This window comes from Homo sapiens, chromosome 4 (genome assembly GCF_000001405.40).
Source record: "Homo sapiens chromosome 4, GRCh38.p14 Primary Assembly".
NCBI lineage: Eukaryota > Metazoa > Chordata > Mammalia > Primates > Hominidae > Homo > Homo sapiens.
Window position 1 is genome coordinate 182,009,301 of NC_000004.12, and position 20,590 is coordinate 182,029,890.

At 38.2% G+C, this 20,590-nt stretch overlaps 1 protein-coding gene across 7 annotated transcripts in view, besides 3 other annotated features; it reads left to right on the top strand.

Annotated features, from left to right (window-relative positions):
- Positions 1–20,590, top strand: part of TENM3 (teneurin transmembrane protein 3) — a 1,355,412-nt gene that overhangs the window by 561,688 nt on the left and 773,134 nt on the right. The gene's annotated exons all lie outside the window — the stretch shown is intronic.
- Positions 404–904: an enhancer, noted in NCBI's record as "H3K4me1 hESC enhancer chr4:182930857-182931357 (GRCh37/hg19 assembly coordinates)". NCBI's record gives its function as "activates a minimal SCP1, AML or CMV promoter by ChIP-STARR-seq in naive H9 embryonic stem cells {active_cell/tissue: H9 hESC(naive)}" and the evidence as "EXISTENCE:reporter gene assay evidence [ECO:0000049][PMID:30033119]".
- Positions 9,498–9,547: an enhancer, noted in NCBI's record as "active region_22175". NCBI's record gives its function as "activates an Ori minimal core promoter by ATAC-STARR-seq in GM12878 lymphoblastoid cells {active_cell/tissue: GM12878}" and the evidence as "EXISTENCE:reporter gene assay evidence [ECO:0000049][PMID:35858748]".
- Positions 9,588–10,097: an enhancer, noted in NCBI's record as "active region_22176". NCBI's record gives its function as "activates an Ori minimal core promoter by ATAC-STARR-seq in GM12878 lymphoblastoid cells {active_cell/tissue: GM12878}" and the evidence as "EXISTENCE:reporter gene assay evidence [ECO:0000049][PMID:35858748]".

A 20,590-nucleotide genomic window follows, 5' to 3' on the forward strand; every position in this document is an offset into this window, starting at 1 on the left:
CAAGGCTGCCCAGATTCCTCAGAACTACCAGGAGGCTCTCCTGGTATGCAGAGACTGCTGCCACCCCTCCCCCTAGGGCCTCAGGTCCTGGGACATCCGAATTCTGTCCCTGAGCCTCTGGCTGGAGTTATTGGAGAGCCTGCAGATAAGCCCCACCCACTGAGGAAGGATGGGTCAGGGTTAGACCTGAAGATGCACTCTGGCCACAGACTGCCACAGCCCGTGCGTTGGGCTGTGGGGACAAGTCTTGGGACCAAGCTGTCCAGCCTCCCTGGCTCCAGCAGGGGAAAAGCGCAGCCTGGAGCTATAGAAATGGGTGCTGCCCTTCCCCTGCCCAAGGAGCTTAGGTGTTTGGAGTCCCAGTGCTGGCTACTGCCCCCTCCTCCAAGGAGCTTAAATGGCTTAGACCCCAGGCAGCCACAGCTGGTGCTGGTTGCCCCTCCCCCTGGGAGTTCGGTTGGCTTAACCAGATTCCAGCTGAGAGGCTGTAAAAATCTGCACATTCTGGGGTTGGGATGCTAGGCCCCGGTGGCCTGGGTTCGCGAGTAGGATCTTCCTATCCGTGGATTACACAGTTCCGTGGAAAAAGCAGTTTCCCCAGCTGCGTAGAGTGCCCACTCACCGCCTCCCTTGGCTGGGGGGAGGGGGTTCCCCTTTCCCATGTGGCTCTCAGGTGGGCCACCACACCACACTGCTCTTCCTTCTCTCCGTGGGTCCCGCCAGCTTTCTAGTCAGTTCTGATGAGTGAACCTGGATACTTTGGTTGCCAGTGAAATATTCACACACTTATTATGGCTTTTTTCCATGAGAGCCTCCTAATGCTGTTGCTTCTAGTCGGCCATCTTGGCCCCGCCCCCCAAAAATATTTTAGTCTTGATAAAATACAGCTATTTATACAAGTATAATGAAGCATTACTTTGTTCTTCTCTTCAGTTTAGGACTAGTAAATTGAATTTTATTCTGAAAAAGAAAACAGTCACATTAAGCTTAACAGGCCATCTGCATGCATACATATATACATTTGTACATACAAGTCTCTACATGAAAACATATTAAAAACTGACAATTGGAAACAGATATGTGATTCAGAGAAACTGTCAGAATACATTTGAATAATATTTTTTATTTTCATATATATTACATATATAATTATACATATTCCAATATATACAGAAATTTGATTTACAAATAAATAATTATAATAGATGTGCTATAAAAAGTGCTGTGAGTTAAAATAACTCTGATTTTTCAAAGAAAAAATGGGATTCGTATGGATTATGTTCCTGAGTAAAGTCCTGACATCCAATTCTATTTTGAAATGTTCTCTCCCTTATTTTCTGATACCTTTAGTGGAATAAATAATATTGTGTTTTATACAGCAAGGTATTATGCTTTATAAAATTAATACCTTTTTATAATTCCTATTTTATTTTTAGTGAAAAATATTAGAAGGTTAAAAACAAAAATAAAACCTTAAAAGTTTCCTTAGCAAGGTCCTATATGTCATGCTAAGAAGTTGAGTCTTCATCACAGAAGTCATTAAATCCAAGGAACAAGTTTAGAGTTCATGTGAACTGTTAGATGCATTCTATGCCATCAGCAGTTACCTGGCTCCACCACTCTTTCTCTGGGCTTCTGTGACATCATTCTCTTCAATTTCCCTCTAGCTTCTCAGTTGCATCTTCTCCAGCTGCTTTGCAGAAACTATCCTCTGTATTCAGTCAACATGCTAGATTAAATGTCTACAGTCTCCCAAGAAAATTCCATCCATGCCAGTGGCTACAGTTACTAACTATACTTGGATGACTCTCAAATGCGTATCTCCAGCCCTGACCTTTTCTTGGAAGTCCAGCTCCATGTATTCTACTGCACACTTGAAAGTGTCCACTCATATTTCTCTAAAGCCCAAAACTGAACTCATTATATTTCTACTTCAAACCCTGATGCCCCTCCAATTTTCCCTACCTTACTGATGGACACCATCATACTCACAGTTGCACATCCCAGACATTGAGAGTCATTCTTTACACCCCTGTCTCTTTCATTTCCCATATCCAGATCCACTTGATTTTACTTCCTATTTATTTCTTATATTCATTCATTTCTCCCTGTATCTCACCACAACTCTGATCACCAAAATTTCCTAACTGGATTCCCCACATCCAATTTTGCTTCACTCCAGTCCATCATCTGAGCTGTAGCAAATTATAGTCTGATACTCCCATGCCTACACTTCTTGATGACTCTCCATGTGCTTTAGAAAAAAGGCCAAGATTCTTAATGTAGCATACAATAGTCTGTAGAATCCAATCCCTGCCCACCTCGGCAGCTTCATTTCAAGCTAATTTTCCACTGGCTCCTGCCTTCCAATTACTGCTGCATTGCATTTTCCAAAAAGGGTCGAATACTATTTCCAAACCCATGCTCTTTCAGAATCTGGCTACCCTCCATCAAGAGGTGGAGTCTATTCAGCTTTCCTTTGAGCCTGGGCAGGATCATGACTGCTGCAAACAATAGATTAAGGCAGAGGTGATGCTGCGTGACTTTCAAGGATAGGTCATATTTAAAAATATATAGATTCCCCTCTAGCCCCTTGTTTGCGGACACCTATTTGGAGAAATAAACCAGTGTGTTATGGGGAATCACAGACTAAGCCCATTCAAAGAGACTTCATGGAGAGACCTAGATAGAGAAGAACTGAGGCCCCCAACCGACAGCCGGCATCAACTGCAAACATATGAATGACAAGGTTTCAGATTATTTCAGTCCCCAGCCTTCATGTCAGCCAATTAAGGCCCCAGAGATCACAGAACAGAGACAAGCAATCTCCACTGTGTCCTGTCTGAATTATTGGCCCTTAAACTCTGTGAGCATAACAAATGGTTATTTTGCACCATCAAGTCATGAGGTGATTTGTGATCATCATTAGATAGTTAGAACAATCGCCCTGGCCTTTCTAGTCCAGAACTCACAGAATATTGCCTCCTGCTTTAGCACTTTTCCTCTCCTGGGCTTCCATACACAAATCTTCACTAATTCCAGGCAGTACTTAATATTTCCTTATCCTTCTGAAATCAGCTCAAATTTCAGCAAATAGCAATATAATTATGGAATGTAGGAATATTACATTACTAGAAGACCACGCATTCTGAACCAAAGGGATGGACGTAAAGAACGCCGGAATTGTCTGACCTGCCATGGATACCAGGCATGGCCTCAAAGCATCCTAGAAGCTAAAGCTTTCACTAAAGTCTGGAGAAACAAGAGAGAAAGAAACTCACATTTTATGGACCATACCCTGCAACATGTGGTGGATAACACTTTTTGGATCATTTTAAAGTTTTCTTTAGCAATTTCTTACCTCCTGAGAAACATTCTTGCTCCCTTCGGGTCAATGTCAGAATAACCACAACCAAAACTGCTGCAGCTCTGGGTCTCTCACCATAGTCTGGGGTGGATTGTCACAAGGATCATGAAATTTGGAGGAACTTCATTAGATGAAGGGAATATTGGGAATAACTGTAAGGAAATACAGAAGCACTTCAGTAATGTTTTTCATGACAGGCCTAAAAATATCTGTTTTATTTGAATCTTTTCTTTTTGTAAATTTTCCTGTAGCAAGCATCCATCTTTTTTTTTAGAGCCCGTTTCACCTTGCACTTTCATGGTATTTTAGTCACCTCAGCCTCTCAAAACAAAACAAAACAAAACAAAAACAAAAACAAAAACGAAAAACCCCTGCCATCAATTTACTTGTCCATTATATCACAATTCTCCACTTTTCCCCTTGAATGAATGGCGAGCATTCAAAGAAACAAATGGGTGTGTTTAATTCCGAAACTGCATCCCAAGTCTTCCAATCTCAGTCTTGAGCCCAAGACTTTGGCTTATACCAGGCTGCTGCTGCCACTGAAATGAAGTTTTGGAGTTTTTTCCTGTGTTTTTCAAAATAATGTGTAAGGATTAAATTTATGACTACACTAACACTGGCGTGTTTTTCCTAGCAGATGCAGTAAAGCTTAGAACAATCAAATAAGTGTCCTTTTCCAAATGAGTTTCCTTGGGAGGCCCTTGCCTTATGAATTTATGTTACCTTTGTTCAATGCACATTGCAACTGCCATCAGAGAAGAGCTTCCAGTGACAGAAGAATATCAGTACCATTACTTTAGAACCACTGAACACTTGTCCTGATTCCAAAATGTTTTTCTTTCCTACACTTGTCCCTTGTTCCCTGAGCACCGCTTACTAATCCAGGCCTCCCTTTCTCCTCTGATGGTAAAGTCAACAAATCAAGGACTTCTAGGGACCAGCCTGGAACTGAAAGAAACTCCTCTGGGAAGAAAAGCTCTGGGGCTCAGAGAGGGTCTGTGGGATCAGCTTCTCCAAGTGACATGGATGTGATTCATGGAACACTCTGAAGCTGACCAGTAGAAGTCAAATTTTGTCTACATTTATATTTTCATTTGAATGAAGGACATAATCTTTCTCTGTGAGTAAAGTACTCTCTATATAATATATAGAGAACTATAGAACTATAATTATTATGTATAGAATGCTTTATGTGCTATATGTAATACTTATATATTATAAAGTACTACAGTATAATACTTTATATTATATATACATATATCTGTGTGTGTATATACGTATATACACACATATATACGTATATATACGTGTATATACGTATATACACATATATACGTATATATACGTGTATATACGTATATACACATATATACGTATATATACGTGTATATACGTATATACACATATATACGTATATATACGTGTATATACGTATATACACATATATACGTATATATACATATACACACACATATATACTTATATATATACATATATATACATATATATATGTGTGTGTATATATATATATAAAGTGTTAAAACTGTTGGTACCCTGAAATTAGTAAAATTGTGAGCTAACGTGCTAACACACTGGGGAGCTACTTACCATTAGCCTTAGCTCTATTAAATAGAGCAAGGTTAGCCTATATATGGTGCCCATTCCTCTACCTATGGTGACGTCACTAATCAATCACAAAACTCTTTCCCAAAACACCTAGACTAGACTTCGGAATCCACGCCATAGCCATCTCAGTCAATCAAAGCTGGCTCAAAAAATGAAATTTATTTGCCATTTCAGAAATAGAAGTGAGCGCATTTCCTCTAGAATGTATTATTAAAATTCAGATTTTATGAGGAAAAGAAGATCCTAGGAGAAAAACAAAAAACCCAGAGGCAATGGTAGGGCCCCTCCTATGAGTCTGTCTCAGCGGCACATTAGATTTATTAAATTAGCTAATTGTCGTGTTGGAAGGCACAGGCGAGCTGATCCTGAGGTGAGAAGCAAAACAAATAGGTTGCAGCAGTATGGATGGGGCACTGGGGAAGCGTTTAGCCTCACTAAACCTTAGGAAGCTGGTCCTAATGAGGTGTACCAGGGGCGGCAGAGTCTTTGCAGAAGGCTCTGAGCACAGGAGAGCATGCCCTGGGACCAAGGACCCATCTAGAAAGGATCAACATTTCCAACCGACATGCAGAGAGATTAGCAAAATGTTTAACTAATGCTGAAGTTCACCAAGCCCAACAAGCCAATCCCTGTTACATTTGCTATAAAAGCAAAGTCTGGAATTAGAGAAAATATTCTTGCAAATAATCAAAATGAGATTTCTAATTTTAAATTAAGGGACACAAGGCCTCTAATAACACATTTACATATGCATTTCCTTTATAGAGTATATCCTATTTTCAAAAGTGAATTTAAGGGAAGAATTCCCCTGCTCTACTTCTTCTTTCTACTTTGTCAATACAAGGGGTGTTCGCGGCCATCGTCACAGCCTGAGCGGATGGCAGGATCTGCCTCGGGTACTCCTGTGCGAGCTCAGGGCTCCTCTGGGACCACCACCAGCTGCCTGCCCTGCTCCCACAAAGGCCGTTTAGTTGTCAACAATAACTGAGGATTCAACTATGTCTCACGGCAGCCAGGTGGTCATACAGCTCCTCCAATCGCCTTTTGTCTTGTTCGAATGTTAATATCAGAGATGGAGGAAAGAAAGGTCGCATTTAAAAATAGCATTCTGAACATCTTAGCTTTTCTCTGTTTGGACTTCTTACTGGATTTCCTAAAATGGCAGCTATCACTGAGCACAGTCGTTTCCTTTGCAGGTGTCCAAAAACCCCCGTCATTTCATTGTTTTACATTTTTTAATTCATGATTTTAATTTTTATTTATTTATTTATTTATTTATTTTTAGACAGGGTCTCACTCTGTCGCCCAGGCTGGAGTGCAGTGGTGCGATCTTGGCTCACTGCAACCTCCGCCTCCTGGGTTCAAGTGATTCTCCTGCCTCAGCCTCCTGAGTAGCTGGGACTACGGGCATGCACCACCACACCCAGCTAGTTTTTGTATTTTTAGTAGAGATGGGGTTTCACCATGTTGGCCAGGCTGGTCTCGAACTCCTGACCTCGTGATCCACCTGTCTCGGCTGGGATTACAGGCGTGAGCCACTGCGCCTGGCCTGATTTTAAGTTTTTAAGATGACCCTCCTCATCGTACTTTGTCTCTAGTATGTTAGAGAAAACCATCATTAACTTAAAAACACAGGGATTGTTCTTTAAAAGTCTATTAACATAAACCTAGATATCATTAAGCTTGTATCAATGAAGTTTCATAAATCCGTCTTGACTGATTATTTTGGGAATCTGATGTCATTTTCAGCCACTTAAAATGCCTGAGCGGTTAAAGATTTGTCTCTGATGACTCAACTTAATGTGGGTGTGTTGGGTTTTTTCCTGGTTGAGAGACAGTTCTCCTTCAACGTGTTATTCGTGCAGATGACTGAGATGGTGTCTGGAAATGTGCTCTATCACACGAAACATTGTTAATACCATGCTCCTATTTGAATTTCTCAAAATGTTGGTGCTACCGTTGAGGTACTTGAGATGATCTCATTCACCATTTCACAAACAGTAAAACTTTTTACCCAATTGACAAAAATATGCTTAATTCTAAACTCTCTCACAGGAACACAGTATTGCTTTCATCTTCTTGTTAGCATGGCAAGTCTTTGTTTTTAGTTATTTTCCTGAGATGGTATTTGTTAAGGCAGGTTTTGCAACTGCTTTGAACCTACCGTCCCCAGTGATGTCTCCTGCTTAGGGTCCTTGAGACTGGTCTGTGTGCATTTTCCCCTTGGCTTCAGCAGGACTTTTGAGAGCAGACAAATTAGAGGATTGAGTTGTAAATAGAAGGTCTGATAAGATCCACCAGCCAAGTTTATGTCTCACATTCTCTATAGGCAACTTTTACTTGCTTGCCAGAGCATTGGAAATAGGTGATTGGGTCCAAAATATACCCATCATATCTTTAAATAATAGCATCATAAACTAATAACGATTCCTTTACCAATGAACATAGGCCATTAACATATAAAGATGCTTTATTCTTTTTAAAAAATTACCTCGAAGTTTGTTATTAGTATTCACTTTAGATTGTCTTTCCAGAATTGATTGGTTTTATGTAAAAAATAATTATAAAGTAACAATCATTTTCATGTCTCTATAAATGAAACAATTCAAAATAATTTAAAATGTAAAAAAGAGCACATAATTTGGGCTAGTCAGATTTTCTCTGGATTTTATCAGGAGTTCATTTACCAAAAGTCATAAAATTTGCCAAATACACCCTCACTGTTTGCCTTACAATGGACACATATTCCAAACATAGACAAGACCACAGGCAAAATTAAGTCTTTTGCTGATTTTAGATACAGACCACAGAGCGACTTAGCTGCCTTTAGCCAATTTCCCTGCTAGCTGGTCCTGCTCCCTGAGGTCCTCTCCCCTTCAACCAGAGTACTCTGTTCCCATCCACACCCTGCCCTCCTGGCCATGTCTATCACCAGGCCACACGCCGTGCTTCGCCCTGTCCTGCCAAAATACAGGCATGAGAAATGCAGGAAGTTTGGTGAAGTGTGAACATACAGGTTGGTTGAGAGGCTTGTTTTTTTTCATCTTCTACTCTACCTAGTGAAAATTGGCTTGCTTGTGTGCATAACAAAATGGACTTTTTCCTGGATTGAGTTTTACGTAGTCATTAAGATTAAAGTTGTAGTGAAAGAGGAACATCATATTATACTTGTATATAATGTTTAGCCTTTTCTGTTTACAAAGGAGTATATGATTTCCAAGAATCATTTTTTCACAATAAACTCTTTGTTAATAAGTTTAATTGTGTTAACATTATGAAATACAGACACACACACACACATGCCCTCCTTACTTAGATAAGAGCCTAGGACCTAAATAAAATAGTCCCATACTATAAAATAATGATACAGGCTTTTAAAGGAATTTTTCTTGTAGTTCTTACATGCTTTGCATGAGGACCTTGTGAAGGGAGTGATAAAATCCTATAAATTGTCTTAGTATTGATCGGCATAACAGGATTACATTAGCACCTGAACTGGAACTTCCTATGAGCCCATGAACACATTCAGAGAGATTAACTAAGACGATTTTCTTTTGCTATTTTACAAACTAAAGTCACTTTATAATTTATTGGCAATGTCTTTAGAGGGACAGAAAACAGAACAAAGGTCTTAAAGCTACTGAGCAAGGCACGGAGCTTATGATATTATATGCAATGATAATGCAAACCACAGGAAATTTATGGTGAGGCAGGAAAATACATTATATTATATATTTCCTGAGAACTGGAAATGATGTTGTGATCATTTGAAGTTAGGGAACATCTAATTCTGGATGAGTAATTATTTGGTTTGTACAACCAGATAACTTACCGTGTATGACTATCCTAGAAGGGGATGATTCTTTGGGTTTTCAATATTAATTGATTTATGTGGTATGAGATTGAATTGCTAACTTTCTTCTGGTCTGCTTGTAAATTTCTACAAAGAAGATCCTTCGCCTTCTGTCCTCTATAGCCATCCACCCTGATTAGCCAATGCTGCAGTCTCACAAGCGTGTGGGATTTTATTTCCTTAACTAAACTATTTGCCTAACTCAGAGATGTAAGCTCAATGGAAGAAGAAAAAAAAAAATTGACTGAGTTGTAATCATCTGGAGTGTTTGAAATAATTTGAATGGATGGGGATTATTTGCTTCAGAAAGCCTCTGTCTAACAGTATTCCTAGGAGCTAGGAAAACCAGCATTCTAATCTCAAACTCTGACATTTTTTGACAAGTTGCTTTAGTTCCCAGCATCATTCTGACCTTTGTATAATGAGAATAATAATATTTATCTAGCTTAGATTAAATCTTCCATCGTATTGTTGGGAATATTTCACTTTGATAAAGTGATCTTTCCTTTCAGATTCCTTACATGCTTTACAAATAAAATTGATTTAACAGTTTGCTGTTTCCTATTGCATAGATGTAGAAACCAAGACACAGAGAAATCATATTTTACTGCATATTTTGAGATTTAATAATAGCTAATATTTGCTGAGTGGTTACCTAGTGCCAGACATGGTACATAACCTCATCTGATTCTATAGTAACCCTGCAAGGATTGTACTCCTACTTTCATAGTAAAGAAAACAGTGGCTTTAAAAGACTAAGGGAGTTTCCCAGAATCATCCAATGAGTAGGGGGCACTGTCCAGATCACAGTGCAAGCATCTACTACCCCCAGCATTACCAAAACCAAGACAAGTCGAAGTTGTATCTCAGCAAGGTGTCCATGAAACAAGGTCCTGGCTTGGCCGCATTTGGAGTTCACTGTCCTATTGCCTGGGCTGGTTACCTGGTGAGCAATAACATTTCCCTTTCCATTTCTGAAGCCACTCTCAAAGACCAACCCTTTAGTGGATATTGTGTCTTTCTTTGGCTACACAGCATCTGATGGCCATACTTCTGATAGCAACCTCACCCTCAATTTGGAAACCCCCAAAGTTTCCTGTGAACCGAATGTGAAAACATCAAGCCCCCTCTGAGTCATGCTGGCTGTTTCCTGCCACCAGCTTGTGGCCTGGTTCTTTGCACCCAGCGCCACTGGTCAAAGCTCCCTCTTGTCCTCTGCTCCTCATGACCTACAGTGCAGGAATTACTGAAATGCTGTGGATTAGACATTTTTCCCTTTGCTATATGTGTGATGTCTTCGCTTCTCTAAGGTTTAATGCCAATCCCCTCAATTCAACACAGAGACCAATTCTCCCAGTGTTTTCCACTGCAACATTTTGCTTATACATATCAGTTCTGTTATGAAAAAGTAAAAACCAAAGTAGTACGTAAACATCAAAGAGAAACCTCCAAACCAAAGTTGACCTGTAGCCTTGACCTCGTTTCTCTTGGAAAAATTAGTGTGGAAAAAGATATTTACTTGGGTTGTTGTTGTTGTTCTTGTTGTTGAGACAGGGTCTTGCTCTGTCTCCCAGGCTGAATCTTGGCTCACTACAACCTTGACCTTCCAGGCTTAAGCAATCCTCACACCTCAGCCTCCCAAGTAGCTGGGACTACAGGCACATGACACCACATCCAGCTAATTTTTGTACTTTTTTGTAGAGACGAGGTTTCTCCACGTTGCCCAGTCTGGTCTCAAACTCCTGAGTTCAGTCAAGCAATCTGATCCGCCTGCCTCAGCCTCCCAAAGTGCTGGGATTACAGACGTGAGCCACTGTGCCTAGCTGGGTTTTTCTACTTGGTTGTGGAAGACTCAGTCTTCATGGGAGCCAACAGACCGAACTGCTTTGGGAATAGCTTTAACGTATTTGGCTGTGTTTTAAGGGTAATCTGGGGCCAGGTGCTGTGGTTCATGCCTGTAATCACAGCACTTTGGGAGGCTGAGGCGGCCAGATCCCTTGAGGTCAGGAGTTCGAGACCAGTCTGGCCAGCATGGTGAAACCCCATTTCTACTAAAAATACAAAAAATTAGCTGGGCGTGGTGGTGGGAGCCTGTAATCTCAGCTACTTGGGAGGCTGAGGCAGGAGAATTGCTTGAACCCAGGAGGCGGAGGTTGCAGTGAGCTGAGATCACGCCATTGCACTCCAGCCTGGGCAACAGGGCCAGACTCTGTCTCAAAAAAAAATTAAAAAATAGTTTAAAAAAGTAATCTGGGGGAAAGGGGGAATAGAGAGAGATTGGTTAAAGGATAAAAAAGTTACAACTAGATAGGAGGAATAAGTTGTAGTGCTCTATAGCTCTGTAGGATGACTGTAGTTAACAATAATATACCATTTCACATAGCTAGAAGGAGGATATTGAATGTTCCCAACACAAAGAAATGAGAAAGATTTGAGATGGTGGATATGCTAATTACCCTGATTTGATCACTATACATTATATATATTGCAACATCTCTAGGTACCCGATAAATATATACAACTGTTATGTCCATTTAAAAATAAAAAAGAAAAGTCATCTTTCAAAGTAAGCATTTCAATGAAATCATATCACTTCTCAACTTAAAATCCTCCAGTGGTTTTCCATCACTCCCAGGACAATACTCAAAACTCATTTTTGCACTCACTCTCAAGGCTTAGCCTACCCATCTCTCCAGCCTCACCTGGTACCACATCCTCCTTGCCAATCAGTCCTGCCAGTTTTCTTTCTTATTTTTATTTTATTTTATTATTGCTATTTCTCCCTCTGGATTTTTTTTTCAAATTTTCTCTAGATTCAGGGAGTACATCTGCAGGTTTGTTACATGGGTATATTGTGCAATGCTGAGGTTGGGGCTTCTGTTGAACCTATAACCCAAATAGTGACCACAGTACCCCACAGGAACTTTTTCAACCCACTCCAGTGTCTACTATTCCCATCTTCATGTTTATATGTACCCAATGTTTAGCTCCCACTTATGAGAACATGCTGTATTTGGTTTTCTGTTCCTGCATTAATTCACTTAGAATAATAGCCTCCAGGGGCATCCATGTGGCTGTAAAGGACATACTATTGTTCTTCTTCATGGCTGTGTAGTATCCCATGTACATATACACTGTATATGTACCACAGTTTCTTTATTCAATCTACTGGGCACCTATGGTGATTCCATGTCTTTGCTACTGTGAATAGTTCCTGCCAGTTTCTGATCACATCACAGCCTCCCATCCTGGGCCTTTGCGTATCCTTCCCTCTCCCTCTCCTCTTTCTCACTTCACCTAAATGCTTCTACTGATTAGTCATATTTCACTCAAATCCCCCCCAGAAAACTTTAAAATACACCCAAGATTATAAAAGACCCTCTAGTATATCCTTCCATAGAACATCATTCTTTACCATTAAAGAATTTATCAAAATTTATAAAGATATATTTGTCCATTGGTTTAAAGGTCCTCTAGACTTCTTGCCCTGTGAGTGCAAGAATGAAGCTAGCCTTGCATATCACTGTATCCCTTTCATCTAAGAATGTTCTAGAAATTGGTGGTGCCCAATATTTGATGAATAAACAAATGAATGAATAAATTTAAGTAGGAAAATGTAATATCAAAGTGTAAATAGTAGTCAATCTTGTACTTTCTCTCTTCAATATTTACTTATTGAAAAAAGCATGTATCACCTTTCTAATCAGAAAAAAACTTCCAGTTATTAAAAGTCAAAAAATAACATATACTGGCAAGGCTGCAGAGAATAGGAATCCTTATACATTGTTAGTGGAAATGTGAACTAGTTCAGCCCCTCTGGAAGGCAGTTTGGAAATTTCTCAAAGAACTAAAAACAGAGCTACCATTTGACCCAGTAGTTCCATTACTGGGTATATACTCACAGGAAATAGATTGTTCCACCAAATTGTTCTGCACTCGTATGTTTATAGCCACATGTTTGTTTGTTCACAATAAGAAAATCATGGAATCAATCTTGGTGCCCATCAATGGTGGATTGGATAAAAAAAAAAAAAATGTGGTACATATACACCATGGAATGCTATGCAGCCACAAACAGAATGAAATTATGTCCTTTGCAGCAATGTGGATGCAGCAAGAGGCCATTATTCTAAGTGGACTAATGTGAAACAGAAAATCAAATACTGCATGTTCTCACTTATAAGTGGAAGCATTGGGTATACATGGACACACAAATGGAAACAACAGACACTGGGCATGTTAAAAGGAGGGAAGTGGGGAAAGAGCTGAAGACCTGTGAGGCACTATGTTCACCACTGAGGTGATGCGTTCATTAGGAGATCCAAACCTCAGCATCACACAATATGCCCATGTAACAAACCTGCACATGTATCCCCTGAATAAAAAAAAAAAAAAAAATCCAAAAAGAAAAGAGACATTTACTGTCTTGGTAAACACCTAAGTCTAAGAAAGATACCCAGACTCTAAAAATATATTTAGCTTAACAAATTCATATTTTAACATAAATATTCCTGCCGTAATTTTCCCAATTTATTTTTTTCTTTTGTATTTTTAAAGTCTAGCTCGCTCACAACGCGTTCCAGAGAGGGAAAAATAGTATATCATTTCCTAGCCATTTCTTAAATACCAAACAACATCATGAAATGTCAGATTTTGGGCTGAAATCAGAAAATAATTTTTAAGCATACTTAAAAATGTATAACAGTAATTATAATCCACCACCCAAACCAGTTTAAAAATTTTAATAGCATTTCTGGCCTAAAGTGGATAGGGGCTGAGGAGGGAGAAAAAACGCCTTCCAGCTTATTTTTTTCAAATATAAAAGCTTGCCCTGAGCAGATGCGTTTTCCACAGTGCTGTCAGCAGCAGACCTAATTGCTTTTCATGTAAATTAAGAATATGTACCTTTGTTTAAGCAGTAATCTAGGTCAACAAGACGGGGTTGGTTTATTTGTTTTAGCTTATGTAGAGCTTTGAAATGGCAGTTAGAGCATGGCATGAACGTTATTCTTGGCTTCCATTTATTTAAGAAAACATTCCTCTTTTAAACTTTCTTTTTTCCAAACCTCCACTTACCAATACCAATGATCCACTCCACACATCACGAAGGCATGTAAAAATACTTAACAGCTTTGATATAAGACACTTGGGAGTTTGGGTTGCTGCTATATATTTTTACATCTTTTATATTTGTTAAAGCTTGATGAATCTGAGAATACGTCTAGAGGGTAAATACTGACTTGAAACCATTTGCTTTTGAGTTGCCTCACTATAATTATCATAGGTTTTTTCCTCTCCTCCTGGAACAGACAAATTTGGGGTATTTTGGTCAAAAAAGATATAAGTACTCTGATTACCAGACAAATTTTGAACATAGATTATATCATAGGGAGGAATTTCTGACCGACCCCTCCTGGTTTATGACAGCAGTGAGCTGAAGTGTACGCCACTGATCACTGGCCCCCTGTGCATGGAAAATTGTATCTCAGCAGGTGCTACCTGGAATCTGGCAAAAAGGTTTGTTCATTTGTTTGCGTGTTTGTTTTAAACACTTCCTGCCAGGGGAGTATTTTGTGAACAATATACCACAAAGGAAGTTTAGTTTTAAAGATCAAAGATCAATTTTGCTCATATAATTTGTAGTAGGGTAATATATCATCTGTACCAAAATCCATTATAGCTGTAATCCACTGGTTGTCATACTCTCATAAATATGATGTATTAATAATAAAATAATTTAGAAGAATTCCAGGACCCATGGAAGTCATGTAGTTATATGGATGTAAAATAAAGGGACTTTCTCTTGAGGGGACAAATTCCTTACTGCCATTTTAGTGTCAAGCTATTTCATTCCGCTGTAAGAGAACATTGCAATAATGCACTCATGATTATATATTTCAGTTTTTAAATGTGTTGTTAACAATGAAGAAAAATATTGAATGTAAAAATATAGATTTGGGGGAAAAAACAACATTCAAAAGATTAACTACTGGTCAGAAAGAAAATGCAAAATCAAGAATTTGAAGAAAAAATATTTTTTCTTAAGAAGCTTTATTACCAAAAAACAAAAAGTCATACATTGTTTTGTATTTGTTTTGTTTACAAGAAAGTGAAAATTTTAGAATGTCTACACTAAATACACCCATCCAGCAAAAGTTTAATGATGACAGTCAAGAGGAAGGCCATAAAACAAACACTGGAGCAATTCAAGTGATATTAGAAAAGTGTCAAATATTTACTACCTGTTATGGGGATGGGTAAATCTGGTTGGTTGTTTGTTTACATATTTATGTATGCAGTATTTATTTATAATCTGTATTTTTTAAAAATGATTTATGGTATATTTCTTTATACTCAGTCTTCTTTCAAAAACAAGGTAGCTGAATCTTTTTAAAAATGTATTATTTTAATTTATGTGGGTACATAGCAGGTGTATATATTCATGGGGTCCTGGAGATGTTTTGATACAGACATGCAGTGGATGATCGTCACATCAAAATGGGGTATCCATCCCCTCAAGCATTTGTGTCTTTGTGTCACAAACAATCCAATTATACTCGTTATTTTAAAATGTACAATTATTATTGTTACAGTCACCCTGTTGTGCTATCATGTACTAGGTCTTATTCATTCTTTCGAATGATTTTTTTGCCATTAACCATCCCCACCTCCCCCTGACCCAGCTACCACCCTCCCAGCGTCTGGTAACCATCCTTCTACTCTCTATCTCCATAAGTTCAATCTTTTTGATTTTTAGATCCCACAAAAAAAAAGTGAGAACATGCACTGCTTGTGCTTCTGTGCCTGGCTTATTTCACTTAACATAATGACCTCCAGTTCCATCCATGTTGTTGCAAATGACAGGATTTCATTTTTTTTTTTTTTTTTTTTTTTTTTGAGATGGAGTCTTGCTTTGTTGCCCAGGCTGGAGTGCAGTGGCGCGACCTCGGCTCACTGCAAGCTCCGCCTTGCGGGTTCACGCCATTCTCCTGGCTCAGCCTCCCCAGTAGCTGGGACTACAGGCGCCCACCACCACGCCCGGCTAATTTTTTGTATTTTTAGTAGAGATGGGGTTTCACTGTGTTGGCCAAGATGGTCTCGATCTCCTGACCTCGTGATCCGCCTGCCTCAGCCTCCCAAAGTGCTGTGATTACAGGCGTGAGCCACCACGCCTGGCTAGGATTTCATTCTTTTTATGGTTGAATAGTATTCCATTGTGTGTATGTACCACATTTTCTGTATCCATTCATCTGAGGATGGACACATCAACAGCTTTGGAAGGTTGCTTCCAAACCTTGGCTATTGTGAACACTGCTGTACATAAAAAATATGGGAGTGCAGGTATCTCTTTGATATACTGATTTCTTTTCTTTTGGGTATACACCCAGCAGTGGAATTTTATAGTTTTCATATAGTAGCTCCATTTTTAGTTTTTTGAGGCAGTTCCAAACTGTTCTCCATAATAATTGTACTAATTTACATTCCCACCAACAGTTTACAAGGGTTCCCTTTTCTCCACATTCTCGCAAGTATTTGTTATTGCCTGTCTTTTGGATATAAGCCATTTTTTGCTGGGGTAAAATGATATCTCATTTTAGTTTTGATCTGCATTTCTATGATGATCAATGAAGCTGAGCACCTTTTCATAGGCCTGTTTGCCATTATAAGTCTTCTTTTTTAATTTTTTTTATTATACTTTAACTTCTAGGGTACATGTGCACAATGTGCAGGTTTGTTACATAGGTAGACATGTGCCATGTCAGTTTGCTGCACCCATCAACTCGTCATTTACATTAGGTATTTCTCCTAATGCTATCCCTCTCCCAGTCCCCCACCTCCTGACAGGCCCTGGTGTATGATATTCCCCACCCTGTGTCCGTGTGTTCTCATTGTTCAACTCCCACCTATGAGTGAGAACATGTGGTGTTTGGTTTTCTGTCCTTGTGACAGTTTACTGAGAATGTGGTTTCCAGCTTCATCCATGTCCCTGCAAAGACATGAGCTCATCCTTTTTTATGGCTGCATAGTGCTCCATGGTGTATATGTGCCACATTTTCTTAATCCACTCTATCATTGATGGACATTTGGGTTGGTGCCATTTGTAAGTCTTCCTTTGAGAAATGTCTGTTCAAATCTTTTGCCCATTTTTAATTGGATTGTTAGATTTTTTTCTATATAGTTGTTTGAGCTCCTTATATATTCCGATCATGAATTCCTTGTCAGATGAGTAGTTTACTAATATATTCACCCATTCTGTGGGTTGTCTCTTCACTTTATTGATAGTTTCCTTTGCTGTACAAAAGCTTTTTAACTTGATGTGATCCCATTTATCTGTTTTTGCTTTGGTTGCCTGTGCTCGTGGGGTATTACCCAAGAAATATTTGCCCACACCAATGTCCTATAGAGTTTCCTCAGTGTTTTCCTGTAGTAGTTTCATAGTTTGAGGTCTTAGATTATGTCTTTAATCCATTTTTATTTGATTTTTGTATATGGTGAGAGAGAGGGATCAAGTTTCATTCTTCTGCATATGGATAGCCAGTTTTCCCAGCACTATTTATTGAGGAGAGAATCTTTTCCCCAATGTATGTTTTTGGCACCTTGGTTGAAAATGGTTTACTGGAGGTGTGTGGATTTGTTTCTGGGTTCTTTACTCTGTTCCATTTGATCAATGTGTCTGTTTTTATGCCAGTACCATGCTGTTTTGGTTACTATAACTCTGCAGTATAATTTGAAGTCAGGTAATATAATTCCTTCAGTTTTATTCTCTTTGCTTAGGATAGCTTTTGCTCTTCTGGGTCTTTTGTGATTCCATATAAATTTTAGGATTGTTTTTTATATTTCTGTGAAGAATGTCATTATTTTGATAGGGATTGCATTGAATCTATAGATTGCTTTGGGTAGGGTGGACATTTTAACAATATCGATTCTTCCAATCCATGGTGGAAGAATTTTTTTGGTTCCCTCTTTAATTTCTTTCATCAGCAGTTTATAGTTTTCATTATAGAGATCTTCTTAGGTATTTAATTTTATTGATGGCTATTGTAAATGGCTATTGTAAATGGGATTACTTTAATTTTATTGATGGCTATTGTAAATGGGATTACTTTTTTGATTTCTCTTCAGATTGCTCACCGTTGGCATATAGAAGTGCTACTGATTTTTGTATGTTGATTTTGTATCCTGCAACTTAACTGGATTTGTGTATCAGTTCTAATAGTTTTTTATGGAGTCTTTAGGTTTTTCCAAATATAAAATCATATCATCCGCAAACAAGGATAATTTGACTTCTTCTTTCCAATTTGAATGCCCTTTTTTTTCCTCTTGTCTGATTGCTCTAGCTAGGATTTGCAGTACTATATTGAATAACAGTGATGAAAATGGGCATCCTGGTTCCATTCTAGACCTTAGAGGAAAGGCTTTCCTTTTTTTTTTCTATTCAGTATAATACTCGCTGTGGGTGTGTCATATATGGCTTTTATTATGCATGTTCCTTCTGTCCCCAGTTACTTTAGGGTTTTTATCATGAAGGGATGTCAAATTTCATCAAATGCTTTTTAAGCATCGGTTGAAATAATCATATTTTTTGTCCTTCATTTTGTCAATATGATGTATCACAATGATTGATGTGCATATGCTGAGCCATCCTTGCATCACAGAGATAAATCCCACTTGTTCAGAATGAATAATCTTTTAAATTTATTGTTGAATTCAGTTTGCTAGTATTCTGGTGATGATTTTTGCATCAATATTCATCAGAGATATTGGCCTGTAGTTGGGTTTGTTTGTTTGATGTGGTTTTGTCTTGTTTTGATATCAGGGTAATAATTGCCTTGTAGAATTTGTTAGGAAGCATTGTCTACTCCTTTACTTTTTGGAAGAGTTTGAATAGGATTGATATTACTTCTTCTTTAAATGTTTGGTAGAATTCAGCAGTGAAGCTATTGGGTCCTAGGCTTTTCTTTACAGGAAGACTTTTTATCACGGCTTTGATCTCATTACTTGTTATTGATTTGTTCCAGTTTCGGATTTCCTCATGGTTAAATCTTGGTAGGTTGTATGTGTCTAAGAATTTGTCCATTTCTTCTAGATGTTCCAGTTTATTGGTATATACTTGCTCATAGTAGCACTAATGATACTTTGAATTTCTGTGAAATCAGTTGTAATGTCTCCTTTTTCATCTCTGCTTTTATTTATTTGGATCTTCTCTGTTTTTCTTAGTCTGGATAAAGGCTTGTCAATTTTGCTTAACTTTTCAAAAAACCAACTGGTTGTTTCATTATCTTTTGTATTGCTTTCTTCACTTCAATCTCATTTATTATTTATTTTCTTCTATTAATTTGGGGTTTGGCTTACTCTTGCTTTTCTAATTCATTAAGATGCATCACTGGGTTGTTTATTTGCAGTTTTTCTTCTTTTTTGATGTAGGCACTTATGACTATAAACTTCTTCTTAACACTGCTTTTGCTGTTTCTCACTGGTTTTGGTATGTTGTGTTTCCACTATCATTTGTTTCAAGAAATTTTCCAGTTTTCTTCTTAATTTCTTCATTGACCCACTGGTCATTCAGGAGCATATTGTTTAATTTGCTTGTATTTGTATGTTTTCTGAAATTCCTCTTGTTATTGATTTCTAGTTTTATTCCATGTGTTTGGAGAAGATGCTTGATATTATTTCAATTTTTTAAATATTTTAAGACTTGTTTTCTGACTTAACATGTGGTCTATCCATGAGAAAGATCCATGTGCTGAGGATAAGAATGTGTATCCTGCAATCATTGGATGAAATGTTCTATAAATATCTGTTAGGTCCATTTAGTCTATAGTGCAGATTAAGTACTGTATTAGTCGATTTTCACGTTGCTGAATAAATAATACCTGAGACTGGGCAATTTATAAGAAAAGCACTTTAATTGGCTCACAATTCTGCAATATGTACAGGAAGCAAACGTCTGGCATCAGCTTCTGCAGAGAACTCAGGAAGCTTACAATCATGGCAGCTGGTGAAGCGGGAATTTGCACATCACATGGCAAAAGCAGGATCAAGAGAACAAGCAGGGGAGGTACTAAACCATTCATGAGATCAGGGGGTTCTCATGAATGGTTTAACATTTCCCCCTCTTGCTCCATGATCCAATCACCTCTCACCAGGCCCCCACCTCCAACACTGGGAAATACATTTCAATACCAGATTTGGGCAAGGACACACATCCAAACTATATCAAGTCCAATGTTTTCTTTTTGATTTTCAGTTTGGAACATCTGTCAATGCTGAAAGTGGAGTATTGAAGTCTCCAGCTATTATTGTATTAGGGCCTATCTCTCTCTTTAGCTCTATCAATATTTGCTTTATGTATGTGGGTCATCCAACGTTGGGTGCATATATATTTAAAATTGTTATATCCTCTTGCTGAATGGACCCCTTTGTCATCATATAGTGATTTTCTTTGTCTTCTTATACTTTTTGTCTTGAAATCTATTTTGTCTGATGTAAGAGTAGTTGAATCTTGATGTAACTGATTTATAAAACAAACTGTTGCTTTATTAATATAACTAGGAGATAGATGCACATGAAACATTGTAAAAGTATTTGTATTATCCTTGTATTCATATGAAGAAATGTAAAAATAAAATAAATTGAAATTGAATATGTTTAATTTTTTTAAATTAGTATCAAACTAACAAAACTTCAGATATAAGTAGTAGAAAATTAGTTGGATCATTCACAATATCCAACAACTGCTA